This window comes from Homo sapiens, chromosome 18, assembly GCF_000001405.40.
Source record: "Homo sapiens chromosome 18, GRCh38.p14 Primary Assembly".
Lineage (NCBI taxonomy): Eukaryota > Metazoa > Chordata > Mammalia > Primates > Hominidae > Homo > Homo sapiens.
The window spans coordinates 23,384,810-23,407,367 of NC_000018.10; the positions used below are offsets into that span (position 1 = coordinate 23,384,810).

The 22,558-nt window shown below is 43.8% G+C and overlaps 1 protein-coding gene across 23 annotated transcripts in view; it reads right to left on the reverse strand.

Annotated features, from left to right (window-relative positions):
* Positions 1-22,558, reverse strand: part of SLC35D4 (solute carrier family 35 member D4) — a 199,440-nt gene that overhangs the window by 146,288 nt on the left and 30,594 nt on the right. For 18 of the 23 annotated variants that reach the window (NR_148382.2, NR_148384.2, NR_148383.2 and 15 more), the window contains 2 exons: positions 14,757-14,838; positions 181-258 (listed from right to left, as the gene is read on the reverse strand). Coding sequence is in view for 12 of the 23 variants with exons in the window: in XM_047437896.1 (XP_047293852.1) it covers positions 181-258; positions 14,757-14,838 (160 nt within the window). In the remaining 11 variants the exon portion in view is untranslated. The remainder of the gene's footprint in view (positions 1-180; positions 259-14,756; positions 14,839-22,558) is intronic. The other 5 variants (XR_001753290.3, NR_148385.2, XM_047437899.1 and 2 more) reach the window with 2 other exon arrangements.

Genomic DNA, 22,558 nt, shown 5'->3' on the forward strand with positions numbered 1-22,558 from the left:
TCTGGTGAATTGCAGCAAAGTCAAAACTGTGTCCCATGGTATCATTGATCACTATCAGGTAATCTTGCCTGGAGATTGGTGGCAGGAAGAGGCAGACACTAATTTGGGCCATAAAAAGAAGAGTACTTCTTTGAAATCTAAAACAAGGAAGTAACACTAGCATTTTGCATGATCGTTTACCTCTTTCTGAAAACACTTCTGGTACCCACAGATGATAACTTCAGCTACATTATGCAAAGTGAGAAACACAGGAATGGCCTGAAAGAAAACAGAATAAAAAACATGAAAATATTTTCTTCGATCTCATAATCATATGGTTCTTGATTTTTTGCTTAAAAATAAAGAGCTGTGGAAACTTTTGGCATCCACATATATAATCACTCCAGCAAAGACTTCTACATGGATTAGCGCTCTTTGCTGCAGTATTTCTCTGTAGGTGGATGTAGAGGTTCCCCTCCTACGGGCATTCTCATCAACAAACATTTAAGTCTCCTGTGTGTCAGGCACTGCATCCGGTACAGAGAACACATCCCATGACAAGGTAAACATGCCCCCTCAGGCGAGAGCTCAGATGGGGCAAAAGTGCACCCCGCCCGGCACACGCAGAGCAAGCTTTCTTAGAGGAAGTGAAGTCCAAGAGGACTTGGACTACAAAGTGAAGTGAAGGAATGAGAACTGAACGATGAACTGGCATGGGCCAAACAAAAAGCAGGGAGGTGGCAAAGTGGCCCAGGCAGAGGGGCACACCAAGATCCAGAGGAGAGAGCGGATCCATCTTCTCCGGGGAATGGGAAGAAGTGGGGCATGGGTGGAACATAATGAGGAAGGGGGACGTGAGGGACAGGAAGGTAGAGAGGTATTCACAGGCCACACTGGGAAACAGGATGGTTCTGAGGGACCCAGGAACCAGTGAAGAGTTTTAAAGCTGACCATAACACGATCTGCATGTTTAGAGGAACTTGGGCTGCAGGGTGGAAGACAGGAGGCAGAGAGGGCTGCAAAAGTCTAGGGGCGCCATAGGATGAAAAATGGCCCCCTAAGGCCGGGCGTGGTGGCTCACACCTGTAATCCCAGCACTTTGGGAGGCCGAGAAGAGTGAATCACGAGGTCAGGAGATCGAGCCCATCCTGGCTAACATGGTGAAATCCCGTCTCTACTAAAAATACAAAAAAAATTAGCCGAGCATGGTGGCAGTTGCCTGTAGTCCCAGCTACTTGGGAGGCTGAGGCAGGAGAATGGCATGAACCCAGGAGGCAGAACTTGCAGTGAGCTGAGATCGCACTCCAGCCTGGGTGACAGAGCGAGACTCTGTCTCAAAAAAAAAAAAAAAAAAAAAAAGAAAGAAAAATGGTCCCCTAAAAGACATCCACATTCCAATCCCTGGAACCTGTAAATGTTGTCTGCTATGGCAACAAAGGATCTTTGCAAATGTGAGTAAATTGAAGATCTTGAGACAGGAGATTATCCTGGATTATTGGGTGGGCCCTAAATGCAGTCACACATATCCTTATAAGAGGAGGCAGGTTGACATGCACAGAGAAGGGGCAATGTGACCACAGAGGCAGAGACTGGAGTGATGCAGCCACAAGCTGGGCAATGCCGTGGCCACCAGAAGCTGAAAGAGGCCAGGAACAGATTATCCCCTAGAGGCTCAGGACCGGGCCCAGCCCTGCCCACACCTTGATTTCAAACTTCTGGCCTCCAGAACTATGAAGGATACATTTCTGTTGTTTTAAGTCACCCAAGTATGTGGTAATTTATTACAGTAGCCACAGGAAATGAACACAAGGAAGGACAGGATGGTGACCTGAACTTGGTACTGGCAGCGAAGATGGAGGAAAGGGGCCACATCAAAGAAATATTTAGGAGACTGAACTGAAGTAAATATTTGAATAACTGGATAAACTCTCACCAAAAAAAAAAAAAAAAAAAGGAGAAAATATAAAAAATGTAACAGTGCATTATTAGGATATACTGGTACCTACTGCACATTTCCCATTGCTGGGACATTTGTTAAGAGTGGCATACTCTCCTAATGGATAGGTAGCCTTGACAAGGTGAGGGGGGAGAATGAGGAGGAGAGGAATTCTGTTGCCTTGTTTTTCATTTTTGTTTTTTGAGACAGAGTCTCGCTCTGCCGCCTGGGCTGGAGCGCAGTGGTGCCATCTCGGCTCACTGCAACCTCCACCTCCTGGGTTCAAGCAATTCTCCTGCCTTAGCCTCCCAAGTAGCTGGGACTATAGGCACCTGCAACCACGCCCGGTTAATTTTTGTATTTTTTTAGTAGAATCGGGGTTTCACCATGTTGGCCAGGCTGGTCTCGAACTCCTGGCCTCAAGTGATCCACCTGCCTTGGCCTCCAAAGTGCTGGGATTACAGGTGTGAGCCACTGCCCCTGGCCTGTTGTCTTTATTGTTGATAATGATAATGATGCTTCCTGGAAGGCAGAAAATGAAAATAAGAGCATAGGTTTTGTCATCACTCTGGGCTCCAGCTCCACCACCTGCTAGTGGGGCAAGGTCTGCATCCAAACTTTTGTTTCCTCCCCTGTAAAGCAGGGATAACAATACCCCATAGCCTGGAGCTGCCAAGAGGAACGACCCAAATACTATAGGTTAAGGACCTTGATGAGTGGCTCAGCAGCACTGCACAAAGGGTGTCAATAACATTAACTGGTAGCCCCGCCCTCAGCAGCCTCTGCAGAGGACCAACCTGGGTAAACTGCTCCAGTTTAGAGGACCTGCTTCAAAATTATGCCGCTTGCCTACTTTCAGATGAATTTATTCTTTATCTTTACGGAGGACATATTTTTACCTTGTTTTTAAAACTTCTATAGCTTTATATAGCTGTGCCATTTTAGTAATCTGTTCTAACTCGCACTGTTTCATTTCTGAGTTCTTGCCTTACATTTTTCTTACCTTTTTAAAAAAACATTTTCTATTTTTATCTTTCATTAAAAGTTCAACTCAAATTGTTTTTTTCTTTTAAAATAGAACTATTTTAGCTTCTATTTTTTCATTTATCTTTGTGTTTCTTTTTATTCCTCTTAAATTTTTAGATTTTAACTTATTTTTCATGTTTGTTAAGATTATTAAAGAGATTACATATTTTAAAGTTGGCTTTCTCCATTAGGCCCATGTTTGGCAAACTTGGGCCCTGGCCTTCCAATTCTTGGCTTGAAAGGACAGCAAAAAAAATCTTGGACAGGTTAATCACATGACACATGGAAGCTAATATTAAAGTGGGGGCTGGATCTTACTGAATTAAGACCTTATGTAAATGTTTTTTGCCTCCTTGGCTATAAAATCAGTAATGAGGTCAGATAATTCTAGACCCAACTTTAGACTTCGACAAGGCTTAATTTTCTCAATTTTAGGACCTGCAGGCTGTTTTCTCAATCTTCCTAGGCCCTTACTCTGATCAGATTCTGGAAAAGGATCTATTTATACATGTAGAATTAATTTTAAAGTACACTAACAATAGCCACCAACAATGTGTTAAACATAGTGCTAAGTATTTTATGTGTATTCTCTTATTTAAACCTCCTCCCAGCACCTCTCTTACCAGATGCTATTACCCTGATTTTATAAACAATGAAAATGGGGCTGAGAAAGACTGGCCACTTGCTCGAGTATTCACAGCTGGTTCAGTGGCAAAGCCATGACCCCAATCCAGGCCTGTCTAACAGCAAAGCCCACACCTTCTAGCCTTGGAGTTGTGACGCACAAATTATGTCAAGCCACAGTGAAAACTTCCGGGACCTCCAATTGTCCAAAGTTCAATATGACTGGTGTGTTCCAAATCCTGGCCATTTGCTTCTCCAGTAATAAACCTGCTGATATGGTTTGGCTCTGTGTCCCCACCCAAATCTTATGTCGAATTGTAATTCCCAATTTTGGGAGAAAGAACAGGTGGGAGATGATTAAATCATGGGGGTGGATGTCCCCCTTGCTGTTCTTATGATAGTGGTTCTCATAAGATCTGGTTGTTTAAAAGTGTGCGGCCCTTCTCCCTTCATTCTCTCCTGCTCCGCCATGGTAAGAGGTGCTTGCTTCCCCTTCACCTTCCACCATGATTGTAAGTTTCTTGAGGCCTTCCAGCCATGCTTCCTGTACAGCCTGCAGAACTGTGAGTCAATTAAACATCTTTTCTTCATAAATTACCCAGTCAAGTAGTTCTTTTTTTTTTTTTTTTTTTTGAGTTGGAGTCTTGCTCTGTCACCCAGGCCAGAGTGCAGTGGCGCCATCTTGGCTCACTGCAACCTCCACCTCCCGGGTTCAAGTGATTCTCCTGCCTCAACCTCCTGAGTAGCTGGGACTACAGGCCCTGCCATGAAGCCCAGCTGATTTTTGTATTTTTAGTAGAGACGAGGTTTCACCATGTTGGCCAGGTTGGTCTCGAACTCCTGACCTCAAGTGATCTGCCAGCCTTAGCCTCCCAAAGTGCTGGGATTACAGGCACAGGCCACCGTGCCTGGCCTGTCAGGTAGTTCTTTATAGCAGTGTGAGAATGGACTAATACAGCTGGTAAGAACTAAAATGGATGAACTCAGAGTAAACCTATGCCTTTTTTAAAAAGGCTTTCTTCTACTCCTGCTTAATAAATTTTAAATCTGATTTTCTCAAGCCATTTTTTCTACTGAGAAGCTAACAGGCTTTAAAGACCCTTACTCTACAATTGACCAGTTGCACTCTATCAGCCTGTGTAGGGCTCTATTAAAAACAATATTAAGACAGTTTGCACCTTTTTTTTTTGAGACGGAGTCTCACTCTATTGCCCAGGCTGGAGTGCAGTGGCACGATCTTGGCAACCTCTGCCTCCCAGGTTCAAGCAACTCTCCTGCCCCACTCTGCCGAGTAGGTGGGATTACAGGCATACACCACCACGCCCAGCTAATTTTTGTATTTTTAGTAGAGATGAGGTTTTGCCATGTTGATCAGGCTGGTCTCCAACTCCTGACCTCAGGTAATTCACCCACCTCGGCCTCTCAAAGTGCTGTGATTTACAGGTGTAAGCCACCATACCCGGCCAGTTTGCAACTTTAATTACCAATCTTTCCCTGGCCTCTAACTCTGTACAATTCCTAATGTGAACTATAACCCATTAGTTCAGGAAACCCCTAGTGACTGATGCTTTCAGAAAATCTGCCCTTTATTATCTTTAAGGAGTCAAGTTCAGCAGGACTTATTTTTGTTAAATCAAACAAAAATGCTAAGAAATGATAAAAGCAATAATAGTAGCTAAGATATCTTGAGTGCTTACTACGTGTCAGACACTGTACCACTTTTATATATTTAAACTTCATAATAACCCTATGAGATAGATATTATTAAAATCCCCATTATACGGTCAAGAAAACTGAGGAATATGTTCTGGTTCTCTTTTTTACCTGACTCTTCATGATTTGAAACCACTTTTGGATGATCTAGATATCTGCTAAAGAGAAACAGAAAACTAGGTGATGCTCTTCACCACTGTCAAGACTGTAGGAATGGCCTCAACATCAAAAGGTCCTACTCTCTTTCATCAGGGAAAATGGCACAACATCAGGAACCATAAAGCCCAAAGCAGCATTTTTGAAATAATTCTGTAAAAAGGTAATTGACCAAATTAAACATACTGCAGGAAAATGCATTAAATTACTTAGGGACACAATTTGCAACTACTTTATTCCTAGAATCCATTAGCTGAAAATTCAACATTTCATCCATGCACCGTTGAAATTTTTCTCTGGCTATAAAGAGAAATTGGTAACTCTCACTCAGAAATATTTCATTATTCTCATACTTCCTAGAGTGGAATTTTGAAGGCTTGGTTATTTGTTCAGGTGTTGGAACTAACTTAGAATGGTTTCCCATGGAAAGTCTTGACCCTGCTCACAGGCACGGCTTCGGTCACTCTACAGAGGTGTGAACGACTCCCCTATTCAAGCGCAAGTTCTGAGTCAACTTCTCAATTTTTGTAAAAGAATGTCAATCCTACCTTTCTATTTGGGTGATTTTTAAATATGCAGATGTGTCCTTAACCTATAATACAGAATAACTGACCTCCAGGTCCTTGTCAAAGAAAGTAACTCTGAACTGTTGGCTGACTAATTTTTACCAAAATCGTGCATGCAAGAAATAATGTTCCTAGGCCGGGTGCAGTGGCTCATGCCTGTAATCCCAGCACTTTGAGAGGCTGAACCTGGTGGATCGCCTAAGGTCAGGAGTTCAAGACCAGCTTGGCCAACATGGTGAAACCCCGTCTCTACTAAAAATGCAAAAATTAGCCAGGCATGGTGGCAGGCACCTGTAATCCCAGCTACTCAAGAGGCTGATGCAGGAGAACCACTTGAAGGGAGGCAGAGCCTGCAGTGAGCCAAGATGGCACCACTGCACTCCAGCCTGGGTGACAGAGCAAGACTCTGAAAGAAAAAAAAAAAAAGAAAGAAAAGAAAGAAAAGAAAAGAAAAGAAAAGATCCTAGAGGATTGTCTAAGGCCCTGAACGGAGCCAAATAACCAGAGACGCATGGATTTTACCCCAGAGACCTGCTCCTACTGAACAGTGCTGTGTCATCATTCTGTCTCCATGTGCACTAAGAATTCTAGACACTGGTGAGTATTTTGAGTGTTATAAGGACATTATTAAAGACCTGCCTCACTGAGTCACCCAGCCTACCCTTTATGAGGCCTCAGGAAAACTTCAATTAGTTGTAATTGTGTTTTAAGTTGACTTTTTTTGCTAGAATGCAGTGGCGTGATCATAACTCACTGCAGACTCAAACTCCTGGGCTCAAGTGATCCTCCCACCTCAGCCTCCTGAGTAGCTAGGACTAGAGGCACATGCCACCAGGTCAGGCTACTTATTTTATTTTTTGTAGAGATGAGATCTGGCTATGTTGCTTAGGCTGGTCTCGAACTCCTGGGCTCAAGCAATTCTCCTGTCTCAGCCTCCTAAAGTCTGGGATTACAGGCATGGGCCACCATGTCTAGACTTTCATAACTTTTTTATTTGGCTGCAGAAAGCTCAGAGCTGAATTCAGACCCAATTGTAATTATGTTGTGAGATACTACAATATAAATTTCTATGTGCTAAATCTCTCTGTGACATCATCTGTTACCTTTTACTTAGATTTCTTTCTTTCTTCTTCTTTTTTTTTTTTTGAGACAGAGTTTCACCCTGTTTCCCAGGCTGGAGTGCAGTGATGCGATCTTGGCTCACTGCAACCTCTGCTTCCTGGGTTCAAGCGATTCTCCTGCCTCACCCTCCTGAGTAGCTGGAACTACAGGCACACGCCACCATACCCGGCTAATTTTTGTATTTTTAGTAGAGACGGGGTTTTGCCACGTTGGCCAGGCTGGTCTCGAACTCCCAACCTCAGGTGATCCACCTGCCTTGGCCTCCCAAAGTGCTAGGATTACAGGCATGAGCCACCATGCTGGCCCTTTTACTTAGATTTCTTATACAATTCTCTTCATAAGAGTGTTTATCTTTTTTTAACTGTAATTATTTTTGTAAGCTACCACACATCCTCTCTGGAAGAAGGTGAGGTATCTGAATATGCATATGTGCACATTTAAGTGAATATTCATAAACTGACTTGTATGAAATAGACTGTAGTGTTTATTTACACTCATCTTACTATTCTGCCATTAGATGGCAAACTCCTTGAGGGCAGAGGACCAGACTGCCTTCTTTCCCAGCCTCCAGTACAAGCTGGGAGGTCCTCTTTGTCCTTCATTTGAGGATCACATAAAGTAGCTGCCTGGTGTGTAAGGGCCTCAACATATTAAAAATACATACCTTGCCGGAGCTCCTCCAATTTGGCAAAATACTAATCCTAAGAGAGATGCCAGGGAATCAGAGAAGGCCTAAGGGGGCCTCAGTCTTCCAGCCTGGCATTAACGCATGGGTGGGAATGGTGGGCGGACTTGCCTGCTCTCAGGGAATGGCTGTTTTCTTCACACTTTACCCAAGTCCACTAACTGAATTCAGTTAAACTAAATATGCATATCCCACAGGAACACAGAGGAGTTCTGAGTGAGACAAGTAAGAACACATTATCACCCCCTCCTTTTCACACAATCCTCAAAAAAACTCCTACTGGAACCTAGGTGATTTTTATTTTTATTTATTTTTTTGAGGCGGAGTCTCGCTCTGTCTTCCAGGCTGCAGTGCAGTGGCATGATCTCGGCTCACTGCAACCTCCGCCTCCCGGGTTCAAGCGATTCTTCTGCCTCAGCCTCCTGAGTAGCTGGGATTACTGGTGCATGCTACCATGCCAGGATAATTTTTTGTATTTTTAATAGAGACGGGGTTTCACCATGTTGGCCAGGATGGTCTCGATCTCCTGACTTCATGATCCATCCACCTCAGGCTCCTAAAGTGCTGGGATTATAGGCGTGAGCCACCGAGCCTGGCCTAGATTATTTTTTTTTTTATTGTGGTAAAATATACATCACAAAAAGTTGCCACCTTAACCATTTTTAAGAGCATAGTCCGTTCACACTTCATTATGTACATTCACACCATTGTACAACCATCACCACCCTCCACTGCCAGAACTCTTTTCATCTTGCAAAACTGAAACTCTGTGCCCATTAAACACTATCTCTTCATTCTCCCCTACTCCCACCCCTGATAGCCACCATACTACTTTCTGCCTCTATAAATTTCATTACTCTAAGTACCAGATATAAGTGGAGTCACACAGTATTTATCTTTTTTGTGACTGACTTATTTAGCATAATGTTCTCAAGGTTCATCCATGTTGCAGCCAGGATTTTCTTCCTTTTTAAGGCTGAATAATATTCCATTGTTTGTATTTTTATTTTTATTTTTTTGAGATAGACTCTTGCTCTGTTGCCCAGGCTGGAGTGCAATGGTGCAATCTTGGCTCACTGCAACCTCTGCCTCCTGGGTTCAAGCAATTCTCCTGCCTCAGCCTCCCAAGTAGCTGGGATTACAGGCACTCACCATCATGCCCAGATAATTTTTTGTATTTTTAGTAGAGGCAGGGTTTCACCACATTGGTCAAGCTGGTCTCGAACTCCTGACCTCAGGTGATCCACCTGCCTTGGCCTCCCAAAGTGCTGGGATTGTGGGTGTGAGACACTGTGCCCAGCCCCATTGTTTGTATTTATCACATTTTATCTATTCATCCATCAATGGGCACTGAGATTGCTTCTACCTTTTGTCTATTGTGAATAATAGCCAAATGAATATGGATGCACAAGTATCTCTTCCTCTCCCTTCTTTCAGTTCTTTTGGGTATACATCCAAAAGTGGAACTGCTGAATCATATAATAATCCTACTTTTGATGTTTTGAAGAAGCACCATACTGTTTTCCATAGCAGCTGCACCACTGTGCATTCCCACCCGTGGTGCTCAAGGGTTCCAACTTCTCCACATCTTTACCAACACTTGTTATTCTCTGGTTTTTTGGTAACAGCCATTCTCATAGGTGTGAAGTGGTATCTCCTATAGTTCTGATTTGCATTTTTCTAATGATTAATGATGTTGAGCCTCTTTTCATGGATTTATCAGTCTTTAAATATCATCTGTGGAGAAATACCTATTCAAGTCCTTTGCCCATTTTTCAATCAGGTTGTTTGCTTTTGTTCTATTAAGTTTTATGAGTTCTCTATATAGCCTATAAGTGAATCCCGCAATTGAAGAGTGAATAGGAAATATTTCCTCCCTTTCTGGGGGTTGCCTTTTTACTTTGTTGATAGTATCCTTTAAAGCACCAAAATTTTTCATTTTGATGAAGTCCAATTACTCTATTTTTCTTCTGCTGCCTGTGCCTTTGGTGTCATATCCAAGAAATCCTTGCCAAATCCAACATCATGAAGCTTTTCCCCCAGGAGTTCAATGTTAATAATAAGCCATTTTATGGCCGTGCGCAGTGGCTCATGCCTGTAATCCCAGCACTTTGGGAGGCTGAGGCGGGTGGATCATCTGAGGTCGGGAGTTTGAGACCAGCCTGACCAACATGGAGAAATTTCATCTCTAGTATTTTTTATACTAAAAATACAAAAGTAGCCAGGCGTGGTGGTGCATGCCTGTAACCCCAGCTAGTCGGGAGGCTGAGGCAGGAGAATCACTTGAACCTGGGAGGCAGAGGTTGTGGTGAGCCGAGATCACGCCATTGCACTCCAGCCTGGGCAACAAAAGCGAAACTCCATCTCAAAAAAAAAAAAAAAAAAAAAGCCATTTTATAAAAGTTACAGGACAATTTTTAGAGGGAGCAAGATGATAAGAAAAATCCAGGGAGGAGTTTACTGTATTGCCACTGAGCCCACATTTTAAAAACTTATCCTTGTAGTTGGACTCTGATCACCTGTGATGAAAACACAGTGTGACAGAGGGAGCTGCCTCTCATCAGCAGTAACAGGGACATTAGGGGCGGATGCTCCATTCTACACCAACATTTACACTCTTCCTTTGTGGATCCAACTTCCTTTATGATATTGGAGCCACACAAAGACAGAGAGGACCCACGGGTACCATTTTGCTTAACTGAGTAACTCACTCCACATGGGTTTAATGATCCATATGTGTTTCCTCATCAACATCCCCCTACCGCACACACAATCCCATCTCCATCCCCAGTATGTTGAGTGAATATTGTGCTCATGGAAGAGAGAAACAAGGACAAGCCATTAGGAAGGACCAAGATCAAAGAGCTCAGCAAGGAAAACAATTCCTGTCCTGTCAAGGTGCCTTGACCTAGACTTCTAGGGTCCCTCCAGCTGCAGACCCTGGCCTCCCCCAAGCAAGAAAACAGCATGGCTTGAGCCAAATTGCCAATGCCAGGATGGCCTCTCTCCACCAAGCTCAGTAATGTATGAATTTGTACATCTTTTCTGAACACTGGCCAGCACAGGCTGAGGCAGTCCTGTCCAGCTGAGAAGGCTTTTGACCAGGAAATTATAAGAAGAGTCATGAGCCATCAAAGTCATACTGTCCCTCCAAGACTGACACTCACCCATCAGAGCCATGATCACTGTGACCTTACTCAGTGTAGGAAAGCTGGGCAAGCAGGCCCGAATCAGCCCAAGTCCAACTCACACTTCATCAAGATTGGTGACAGAAAGTGCCTGGCACATGCTTAACATCAAATATTCATGGTGGCTGTTCCCATGGTGAGCTGTGTGTCTTTCACTCCCTGCCCCATCCCTTTCAGTTCCTCAAGGTCAGAAACCAGGTCTTATTTGTCTTTATGCCCCCAACACATAGTAGGTCCCAAATAACTATGTAGTGAATGGACAGCTACAAGAAAAATCTCCTTTCCCTTAACTCTGTAGATCATTTGGTTGTGAGTCTGAGGTAGAAAAATCAACCAAGAGCTTTTCCCATAGCATCTGTGCAGAGTTAACTCAGCTTCCTCCCAGAAGCTACAGATCAGGAGAACAGAACTTCAAGGTCTTGTCAGATAAAGGAGGGCTTTATGGAGCAGAGCTACCCCGAAAGTGTTTTGCATAACAATACATCTACGGATTTTAATGGAGCGCTTTTCCCCCATTCCTTATGGATTCATTAAACTGACAGCTTGGCACCAGCATATTGATGCCTGTTTTCTATCCAACACAAACTGTACAAGTGCCTCATGTTTATCCACCCTATGAATTTCTAAGCAACGATGTAAAAACAAAGAACTCAGAAACAAAGAAAAGATGCTGGGTTGAGTTATTTTACTATAAAACAATAATAAGCATCTGCTTTCCGCCCTCCTCCCACTCTAATTGGGTGTATTTGGTTTTTGGTTGTTTCCCTTTGTTCAAAGATTTTGAATTGCAACAGCTTCTTTTTGCTTATTTAAGAAGAATGTGCTCTCAGCAGGGTGCATGGCCCGTGTCTGTAGTCCCAGCTACTCGGGAGGCTGAGGCAGGAGGATGACGTGAGCCCAAGAGTTTGAGGCCAGCATGGGCAACACAGTGAGACCCCCATCTCTAAAAAAAGGCTGTGCTCTAGAGGAATGCCACTCAAAGTGCTGGTCCTCGAGAAGATAAGGAGTTGGCAAGAGAATGTAAAATCAATGCATCGCTTCCTCCTTCAAAATGTCTTGCAAAAAAAAAAAGCCAGCTCAATTAAACAGTGTGATTAGTGCCAAAGTCGATCTCTTCATGGACAGGTAACAAAGAATTCAAAGACCAGGACAGCTGCAGATCACAGCTCAAGAAGCGTTGTTGAAGGCTGCAGAACTCCCCAACTGCCTGAAAACACACTAGACTGACATTTACCATGGTCTTCTGAGAGGGTTTGGCAACTTAGTATCAGTACCTCTTTGTGTGTGTGTGGGGCGGCGGGGGGAGGGTAAAGCACTCCAACATTGAGGATCCATTACAGCCTGCTCTCCATATCTGGGACCCAGGCAGAGATCCTACATGAATAGGCCTCCAAGTGTCTCCAACCACAGTGAATGGTTCAGGGAAGTCTTGAACCAGGGCTGGCCAATCAACATAATTCCAACCTTGTGGTCAGTTTTCAGATCAAGGATGGGCAGTGGCCCTGACTGATCCAATCAGAGTGAAGCCTGGGACTCATGCAGGAACTACCAGGAAAATGGTCTCTTTCCACTAAAGTTGTGAGAATGTGAGGCTGCAGTTGACACCCATTGTTGGGGGCAGCTGTACAACACTCATTGTTGCTATAGGGGTGGGCTGGATGTGAAAAGAAACAAAGATGGGGAGCAGAATTGAAAGACAGAGAAACTGGATTCTGAGTGTAATACTGGAGCCTCTGGACAAAGCCATTCGTGACATAGGTTTCTACCCCAAGACTTTTCAGTTATATGAACTGGTAAATCTTCCTTTTGCTTAGACCAGTTTTTGAGCTTTCTAACACTTGCAACTGAAAGAGTCTAATGTTATACAATGACTACTACACCCTGGGCTCACTCTAAAATCCATACGCATTGGCCCTAAAGAAACAATTCTGAAAAGGCAAAAGGTGGGGAGTTAGAAGAGCTGCCATGCCAGGTGCAGTAGCTCATGCCTGTAATCCCAGTGTTCTGGGAGGCTGAGGCGGCAGGATTGCTTGCGCCCAGGAGGTCAAGATCAGTCTGGGCAACAGAGCAAGACCCCATCTCTAAAAGAAAATAAATAAATAGCTGGGTGTATTGGCAAGTACCTGTATTCCCTGCTACTTGGGAGGCTGAGGTGGGAGGATGACTTGAGCCTATTGAGCCCAGAAGGTCGAGGCTCCAGTGGGCTGTGATTGTGCCACTGCACTCTAGCCTGAGCCACAAGACCACAAGAGCAAAACTCTGTCTCAAAACAAAAACAAAAAAACGAGAGCTGCCACTATCTGGGACTAGAGGCAAGTTTAGCAAGACTTTCCACACCTACATCTCTTCCTCTGTCAAGTGGTTAGCAGCTGCCTCACCTATCATCTGTCAAAAGATTGCAAGAATCACATAAAAGGACACGAAGGAAATCACTCTGGAAGCCTATGAAAAAAAGCACTGTATGAACAAAAAGTATTATCATTATGAACATAACACCTTGTTATTCAAACTTCAAAATTCTGGCAAATGTAACTATCCAGAGCCTAGAAAAAAATTTAAAAGAATTTGAGCAACACATTGCTTTTACCAAAATCCAATAGTCTATGGCGTAGGAGAGGAAACACTCTTTGCAGGCCAAAGGGTATAAACTGAGGCGGTAAGAGCCTGAGAACAAAGAAGGCACAGCAGACAGCCAGGGCAAGCCTCGTGGTCTGAGCTGAGCAGCAACATGCACCGTGGGTCAGTTCTCAGGCCCACCCAGGAAAGTTCTTCCCCATTGCATATATCACCCCATCTACTCAAGCTTATGAATCATGAAAGAAAAATGATTATTTAATTTCAAAATTACAGTCCTCACTGCTATTTTGCAACTTTGGAGTTGCTGTCCTAACAACAACATTGTTATCCAATTAGGCAGATTTTATTTGTTTGTTTTTACTGTTTTTATAGCTGAGATCTAAGGGGCTAACATAACAACAAGAATTTTACATTAAAAGACTAAAATGTTTTGCACATTCTGCACTTTCCCCAAAGTCAGAATACAACTATTTTCTAATAGATAAAAACAGTTAGTAGTCATGGTACAAGACTGGAGGAGGTATTAACATCATTCCTGATTTTTAAGCCACCTTCTGTTAATGATGGTTTTAATGGATTCTCTTTTGATGGCAAAATAAATAAATTTTTGGAGTTCCAAATAATGTATCTGGAAGTAACTTAGCTCTTCACAGTTCCTGCATTTGAGGAGCTCAGTCCTGCAGAGAAGTGGTGGGAGGACAAAACAGTCAGCTTGTTTTACTAGCTTCCCCGTGTACAGGACATCAACCCTGTGCCAGGCATTTGCATCCATGACCAAGCTCACCAGGCCACGTTACCAATGGGCAGGGTTTGGTTCCTCAGAAGCAAGGAGTAGTTTGGGCCCTGCCTCCCTGCTCCTGTGGACAGCCTGCATTCAGGCAGAGTTGGGGCATTCCCACTCTGCCCATCTCCACGGGGAAGCAGTCCCAGCAGGGCCCGTCTCTGGCCAGCTCCACGAATACCATTACTCTTTCTTCTGCTTCTCCCTGTGCATCCCCACCTTGTAACACAAGTTGGCCTTCCCTGTTATCTGATTATCTTCAACTCAACAAAAGGGAGTAATAGGTCCCATTATTATCATTATTAAAGTGATTCTTTGCCCTTATTGAGCTGAGGCATGATAAGTTAAAAGGCAAAGGGGAAAGGGAGAGAGGAGTTGTTTCCCCTGAACCTCTAATACTTACCAGTCTGGACAATGCTCTGGACCCAGCATAGATTATACCCACAAACAGCACTGAAGCAGGAAGCCACACAAGAACATGAGATCTGAAAAGAGGGGAAAAAAGCAATAACACTTTTGCCACTTTTTGTTAAGAAAGACCTAGCTGGAAAGGCTGACCCTCCAGATGCATCAACTACAACAACAGAGGCTGTCTAAAAATCCCTGGCAGACTTGTTAAGTGAGATGTAGTCTTTATCGATTGAGTAGTGGAGGCAGATAAAGCCATCCTACCTACAATCCCATCATTACTGATCATCTAGCCTAAGAGATCCCAGAAATGGAAATGGCAAACGCCTTGCTGCAGCTTGGAAGAGAGAACAGATCTGGTTTTTTCCAAGGGCAGTGAACATTATTCTTTGGATTTTAAGTAACCAAAAGTTTTGAATCCACTACAGATTATTAAAAATTGAAAAGGTTATTTACCCAGGCTACACCAAACAGCTCCGTGGAATCACAACAAAAAGAACCAGTTTCAAGGGATGAAATTGAAAAAAAGAATCCCAGAACTTCAGTTGGGTGGCCATAGGCTGGCTTTTTCAACCATTAACCTGGCATTGCTGGAATTCTGGTTCAGGGACCCTTTAAGGACTTCCGAAGGGTACATTTATTTTTCAATTGTAGCCACACCACGAACTGCTTTTCTCTTACAATTTAGAATCAAAATCCTAGTTCTCACACACAGTGCATATCACTGAGGTTGCAACCTGCTTCTCTCATCAGTTAGAAATGCATTTTATTGGCCGGGCATGGTGGCTCAGGCCTGTAATCCCAGCACTTTGGGAGGCTAAGACAGGTGGATCAGTTGAGGTCAGGAGTTCTAGACCAGCTTGGCCAACATGGTGAAACCCCGTCTCTACTAAAAATACAAAAGTTAGCCAGGCATGGTGGTGGCGAGCACCTATAATCCCAGCTACTCAGGAGGCCAAGGGAGGAGAATCACCTGAGCTCAGGAGGCAGAGGTTGCAGTGAGCCAAGATCACGCCACTGCAATCCAACCTGGGCGACAGAGCAAGACCTTGTCTCAAAAAAATAAAAAAAGAAGCATATTCAATCTACTAATTCAAGTTCCCAGAGTTATCCTAATAATGAATAAAAATAAATGAAACCATTCCAGCAGGATATAACATAATAATCCCAACTAACTCAATGAACTGATCTCCTGGAATGATGCCTGCTCAAGAAATGTTCTTTGTTAATTTTATTAGCATGGGCAAGCACTCCATCCAAGATCAGGTCTGATCTGTACAACTTCCTGGAGAACCTAGCATTTAAATGTTTCCAGTCTAGCAAGGGCCTTCAATCCTTACTTGCTGCATAAACTCATTGTGCAAATACTTACAGCAACTTACAAGGTGCTGAGAATTATCATTAATAGCAGCATCACAGGTAACATTTATTGAACACTTGCCACAAACCAAGCACTTTGCTGGTTTTTTCTTTTATATGTTTTAAATGTGTTATATGCTGCATTTTTTGTTTTAAATGTTTTATATACTGCATCTTTCTTAAAGTTGCACAATAATCTTATGAGGAAGGTATTTATTATTATTACCCTCATTGTACAGATGAGGAAACTGAGACAAAGAGTTTAGATAATTTGCCTGCGGTGAGAAGAGCTGGTAAATGGCAAAGCCAGAATTTGAATTGAGGTCTGTCTGGCTCCAAAGCCCTAGCTGTTAAACGCCCATTCATATTTTGCCTTCACGGACCTCATAATCTAATGGGAGACACTGACATACAAATAGATAAGCTGCAAACACTCAGATAATTGACCAAGCAGCCAATTATCTGAGGGATATTCTGTTACACTAGTCGTGCTGTAATAGATGTCAGCACCCCCAACCAAAAGATGAACAGAGAAAGGAAGATCCCATCCTCCATTGCAATGGATCAGGGGTGACATCAGTCAATTGCTATTCTTCTAGGAAGTGGCTTTTCCCACTTGACATTAAGCTCACATGAATCAAGGGAGGCAGGATACAGGCCCATGGCCTGTTGTGCACCAGAAGGAAGCACAGAGCACATACTGCAGGCAGGGCATTGAGGAGGAAGGAGGAGGTGCACTGGGTGAAACGGCAGCTGGCCTCACTGCGGGAGGCCCAGGACTTTGGAATGTAAGGTCAGCGAGGCCCCAGACATGTGTACTCCATGCCCTCTTAAAACAAAGAAAACTGCTGAGTTATATATTCCAAGAGGCATCAGGGTGTTTGAATGGCCATGGATGTGAGGAAAAGAAAACATGCCTAGGGAACACCTTGTATTTTAACCCTCCTACCCAAAAATACAAAGAAATAACTTTAACTAGAAAAGAGATACACAGGACTAGTAGGACCAAACAGACTTGTGGGAAGTGTTAGAGGACAGCGGAGTGAGCCTCTGGCTCCAGACGTGGGACCACCTCCCAGGCACAGGACCCCGGTGCTTGTGTTCTCCGAAGTCATCTCCCTCAGGGGCAACAGGGCCAAAGCAACACACACTCATGGCACTTCAGACACACAGGAGAGGCAGTGGACTGCAGAGCCACCATGCTGTCAGTGTGACGGCTGTCTTTCTCCACCACACACCAACCTAAGACCATAGCCGCTGCTAAGAATACATTTGAATCACTGGAAAAATGGCTGACAAAACAGGTGTGGGCAAGGCAAGTGTGAAGGGATAGGGCAAAAAGGAAAAAGAATTAAAAATCAAAGACTCTTGATTTATATTGTTTCAAAGTACCAAAGGCCTCATTCTACTTTAACCATGTATTTCAATGGAAAATCATAGAGTATATGCTAAGGGTAGTATATGCAAGAAACGGACACCAGTCAACAATCCACACACAAACGAAAAGCCTTACCACAAAATCAGCAAATTAATGCACATTTATATGTCTTTAATTAAAATAAATAGATTGTTTCAGCAAAAGATGATTCCCTAGGCCAGGTGCAGTAACTCACACCTATAATCCCAGCACTTTGGGAGGCCAAAATGGAAGGATAATTTGAGTCTGGGAGTTTCAGACCAGCCTGGGCAACACAGCAAGCCTGTCTCTACAAAAAATTTAAAAATTCAGCTGAGTGTGGTGGGTTGAGACTGTAATCTCAGCTACTTGGGAGGCTAAGGTGGGAGAATCGTTTGAGCCCAGGAGGTCAAGGCTGCAGTGAACCATGATCATGCCATTGCACTCCAGCCTGGGCAGCAGGGGTAAGACCTTGTCTTTTTAAAAAAATATAAAAATAGGCCAGGTGTGGTGACTCACGCCTGTAATCCCAGCACTTTGGGAGGCCGAGATGGGCAGATCACAAGGTCAGGAGTTCAAGACCAGCCTGGCCAATATGGGGAAACCCTGTCTCTTACTAAAAATACAAAAATTAGCTGGGTAAAGTGGTGGGTGCCTATAGTCCCAGCTACTCAGGAGGCTGAGGCAGGAGAATCACTTGGATCTGGGAGGTGGAGGTTGCAGTGAGCCAAGGTCGTGCCACTGCACTCTAGCCTGGGTGACAGAGTGAGACTCCATCTCAAAAAAATAAAAATAAAAATAAGATTCCCTGATTTATGTGACTTTCAATTAACCCACTAATTATCTGACTGACAGAGTCAGAAAAGGGAGCTCCTGTATATATTATTAATGTCTCCTCCACCCCTCAAATACACTGTGTCACATGGGTGGGAACCGTATGTGTTTTGTTCATATAAAATAAATGAAAACACTACATTGATAACTGTTATAAAGGAGACTAAAGGACCATGCTATACAATAAGGGAAACTGACCTAATCAGTGAGAATAGGGAAAGCTTCCCCATATACGTGACGTTTGAGAGGGAAATTCAAAGTTAAACTGGCTACAGGAGACAGGGTAGAACAGTGCAAGGGACACGACATTCCAGACATAAACACGGCATGTGCAAAGGCCCTGTGGCAAGAAGAAATTGGAGGAAGGCAAGTGTAGCTTGAGAAGATGGAGGAATAAACCCAGGGTAGGGAGCGAATAATATGGTCTAACTTGTATTTTGACAAGGTTGCTCTGGCTGTAGTACGGAGAACACGTTGGAACAGGGTTAGGGGTGGTGCATTAAGACAGGAAAAAGTTGAAAACGCTTGACTGGAGAAAATCATGAATTCAGTCTTGAAAATTATGAACTTGAGATGCTTTTGGGACACCCAAGCAGAGATATCAAGTAGGCAACTGGATCAAGGATCCTTTCCTGTCCTCTAGTGAGCAAGAATGCACTGTTAAGCATGTCTTACATTTGGTTTTACTGTATTTCCTTATCCTTCAGTTCTGAGAATAAAATATACAAGGCGGGCAGATCACGAGGTCAGGTGATCGAGAACATCCTGGCTAACATGGTGAAACCCCATCTCTCCTAAAAATACAAAAATTAGCTGGGCACGGTGGCTCATGTCTGTAGTCCCAGCTGCTCGGGAGGCTCAGGCAGGAGAATCTCTTGAATCTGGAAGGCAGAGATTGCAGTGAGCCGAGACTGTGCCACTGCACTCCAGCCTGGCGATAGAGCAAGACTCTGTCTCAGAAAAAAAAAGTAAATACACATAACATTTTCTTCAACATAATGTCTCCCTTTAGTTTATTATTACAGCAATAAGAGCCTTCTGTGGCTTGGAAAGACTTTGTCACAAACCTATTCTTCATTGCTATGGTCTGAATCTGCGTCCCCTCAAAAGTCATATGTTGAAGTCCTAACCTCCAAAGTGATGGTACTAGGAGTTGGTGTCTTGTGGGAAGTGATTATGCCATAAGGGCAGAGCCTTCATGAATGGGATTAGTGTCCTTATAAAACAGCCCCAGGCAAGGCGCGGTGGCTCACACCTGTAATCCCAGCACTTTGGGAGGCCGAGGCAGGCGGATCATGAGGTCAGGAGATCGAGACCATCCTGGCCAACATGGTGAAACCCCGTCTCTACTAAAAATACAAAAATTAGCTGGGCATGGTGGCCCATGGCTATAGTCCCAGCTACTCGGGAGGCTGAGGCAGGAGAATCACTTGAACCCGGGAGGCTTGCGGCGGGCCGAGTAGAGGTTTCAGTGAGCCGAGATCACGCCATTGCACTCCAGCCTGGTGACAGAGCAAGACTCCATCTCAAAAAAAAAGGCCAGGCACGGTGGCTCACACTGGTAATCCCAGCACTCCCAGCACTTTGGGAGGCCGAGGCAGGCAGATTACAAGGTAAAGAGATCGAGACCATCCTAGCCAACATGGTGAAACCCCATCTCTACTAAAAATACAAAAATTAGCTGGGCCTGGTGGCCCGTGCCTGTAGTCCCAGCTACTCAGGAGGCTGAGGCAGGAGAATTGATTGAACCCAGGAGGCAGAGGTTGCAGTGAGCTGAGATGGCACCACTGCTCTCCTCTCCAGCCTGGGGGCAACAGAGCGAGACTCCGTCTCAAAAAAAAAAAAAAAAAAAAAAAAAAAAAAACAGGCCCAAGGGAGCTTGTTCACTTCTTGTACCAAGTGAGGATGCAGATGGAAGGCACCTCCTATGAACCAGAAAAGTGGGCCCTCACCAGTCATCAAATCTGCCAGTGCCCTCATCTTGGACTTCACAGCCTCTAGAAGCTGTGATAAATAAATTTCTGTTGTTTATTTATTTATTTATTTGAGATGGAGTCTCGCTCTGTCACCCTGGCTGGAGTGCAATGGCACAATCTCAGCTCACTGCAACCTCCGCCTCCCAGGTTCAAGTGATTCTCTTGCCTCAACCTCCCGAGTAGCTGGGGTTACAGGTGCCCACTACCACGCCTGGCTAATTTTTGTATTTCTTAGTAGAGATGGGCGTTTCACCATGTTGGTCAGGCTGACCTCAAACTCCCGACTTCAAGTGATCCACCTGCCTTGGCCTCCCAAAGTGCTGGGATTACAGGCATGAGCCACCACACCTGGCCAATTTCTGTTGTTTATAAGCCAGCTGGTCTATGCTATTTTGTTACAGAAGCCCAAATGAACTAAAACACTCGTTAACTCATTCATATTCATTAAGCACCCATTATATTCCAATATTCTAGTCAATGAAGACACAGCTCTTAATATGACAGACCAAGTCCAATGGGAGAGGTAGGCAATAAGTAGACTGTAGTAGTCATGGGAGGAGAGAGAGGGGTGTCGGGGAAGGAGAGAGAAAGCCTGTTGCAATGGCCAACAGCTCCATGTACATAATTTGAACTGTTGACACTTATTCCTGCTGCTCAGGAATAAGGATTTGGATCTCTGGCTTTACAGGTTCCACAACTGTTACTGTGCTGTCACAATCCAGTGGGGTCAGACCTTTCAATAGTTAGTCACCTGGTATGTGTAAAATCCATGACAACTGAGATTTCCATACTTTTCCAGGTAGCATAGAGACAAGGTAAAGACATGAGCTACAAGTGTAGTGCTTCTTTGTGCTTTTGTCATCTCCTGAAATATTTTTTGAAGTCATTTCTTCAGGAAGAAATGAAGCTACAACTTTAAAATCCTAGTTAGTTCTGCTGTACCTAAGGATTATTTTGTAGGGAGATATAGCAACAAGTGATACAACTCATACCTGATTCTGGGCACTAGAGAGTATAATCTTATAACATTTACATGGTTATCCAAATCTTTTGAAATTATAATTAGTTTTCTTGCTCCCAAGGAACTGCCAGCAATTTGCAGATTAACTTTAGCCAATAGCTCTACGAGACAGAGAAACTTCACACATTTCCCTGGGCTGGGCTATGTTCTCAGTTCTAGTATAAGCCATGTCATGGGCGGCAGGGGGTGGGAAGGATGTACAAGTCCAGGGCAAAGGGTTTCATACAGTGGAAAGAATGTGACCTTCGTGGTGTTAAAGCAGATAAGAAGGAGGCCATTAGCCTGATCCTGTCTCTGCACTAGGAGCTCTTAAGTAAGCAGACCACACCTAAACTTGGATGCATTTCTTATAAGTGACTAAAAAAGAAAAACCAAAACTGAGCATCAATCAATCAATCACAGTCAACCAAACAACTGGTTAAAAATCAGGGACCTCCCACTGAACTACACCCAAAGAAAGCCAGTGCCTAGCTATAGCCAGTTATGTAATAACTTTATTTCCACATTCAGCTACTTCAGCTATAAAAGCTCACAGCCAGGCTGCTACAGTAGAGTTCTCTAAGCCTCCTCTGGTTCTGAGTGCTGCCTGAGTCATGAATTGTTGTTTGATCAAATAATCTCTGTTAAATTTATTTTGTCTAAAGTTTTTCTTTTCTTTATTTATTTAGAGATAGGGTCTCACTCTGTTGCTCAGGCTGGAGTGCAGTGTGCCATCACGGCTCACTGCAGCCCCAACCTCCCAGGCTCAAGTAATTCTCCCACCTTAGGCCTCCTAAGTAGCTGGGACTACAGGTGCACACCACCATGCCATGCTAATTACCTTATTTTATTTTTGTAGAGACGGTGTCTCCCTGTGTTTCTCAGGCTGGTCTTGAACTCCTAGCCTCAAACAACTCTCCCACCTCAGCCTCCCAAAGTGCTGAGATTACAGGCATGAGCCACTGTGGCCAGCCTAAAGTTTTTCTTTTAATGTGGTCAGGCAAAACCGGATCCATATCCATAGTTTGCAATGAGAACTCACTTTTTTCATTTATCAAATGGGGATAATAATGCTCAGAAGGATTCCGAGAAGATAAGAGAATGAATATACAGTATTTGGGAGCAGTGCATGGCACATTAAAAACAATAACAACCTCAATAAATGCTGCCCTTCTGGCTTTTCTATACATCACTACAAGGACAGAAACCATCAAGGAAGACTGATAGATCTG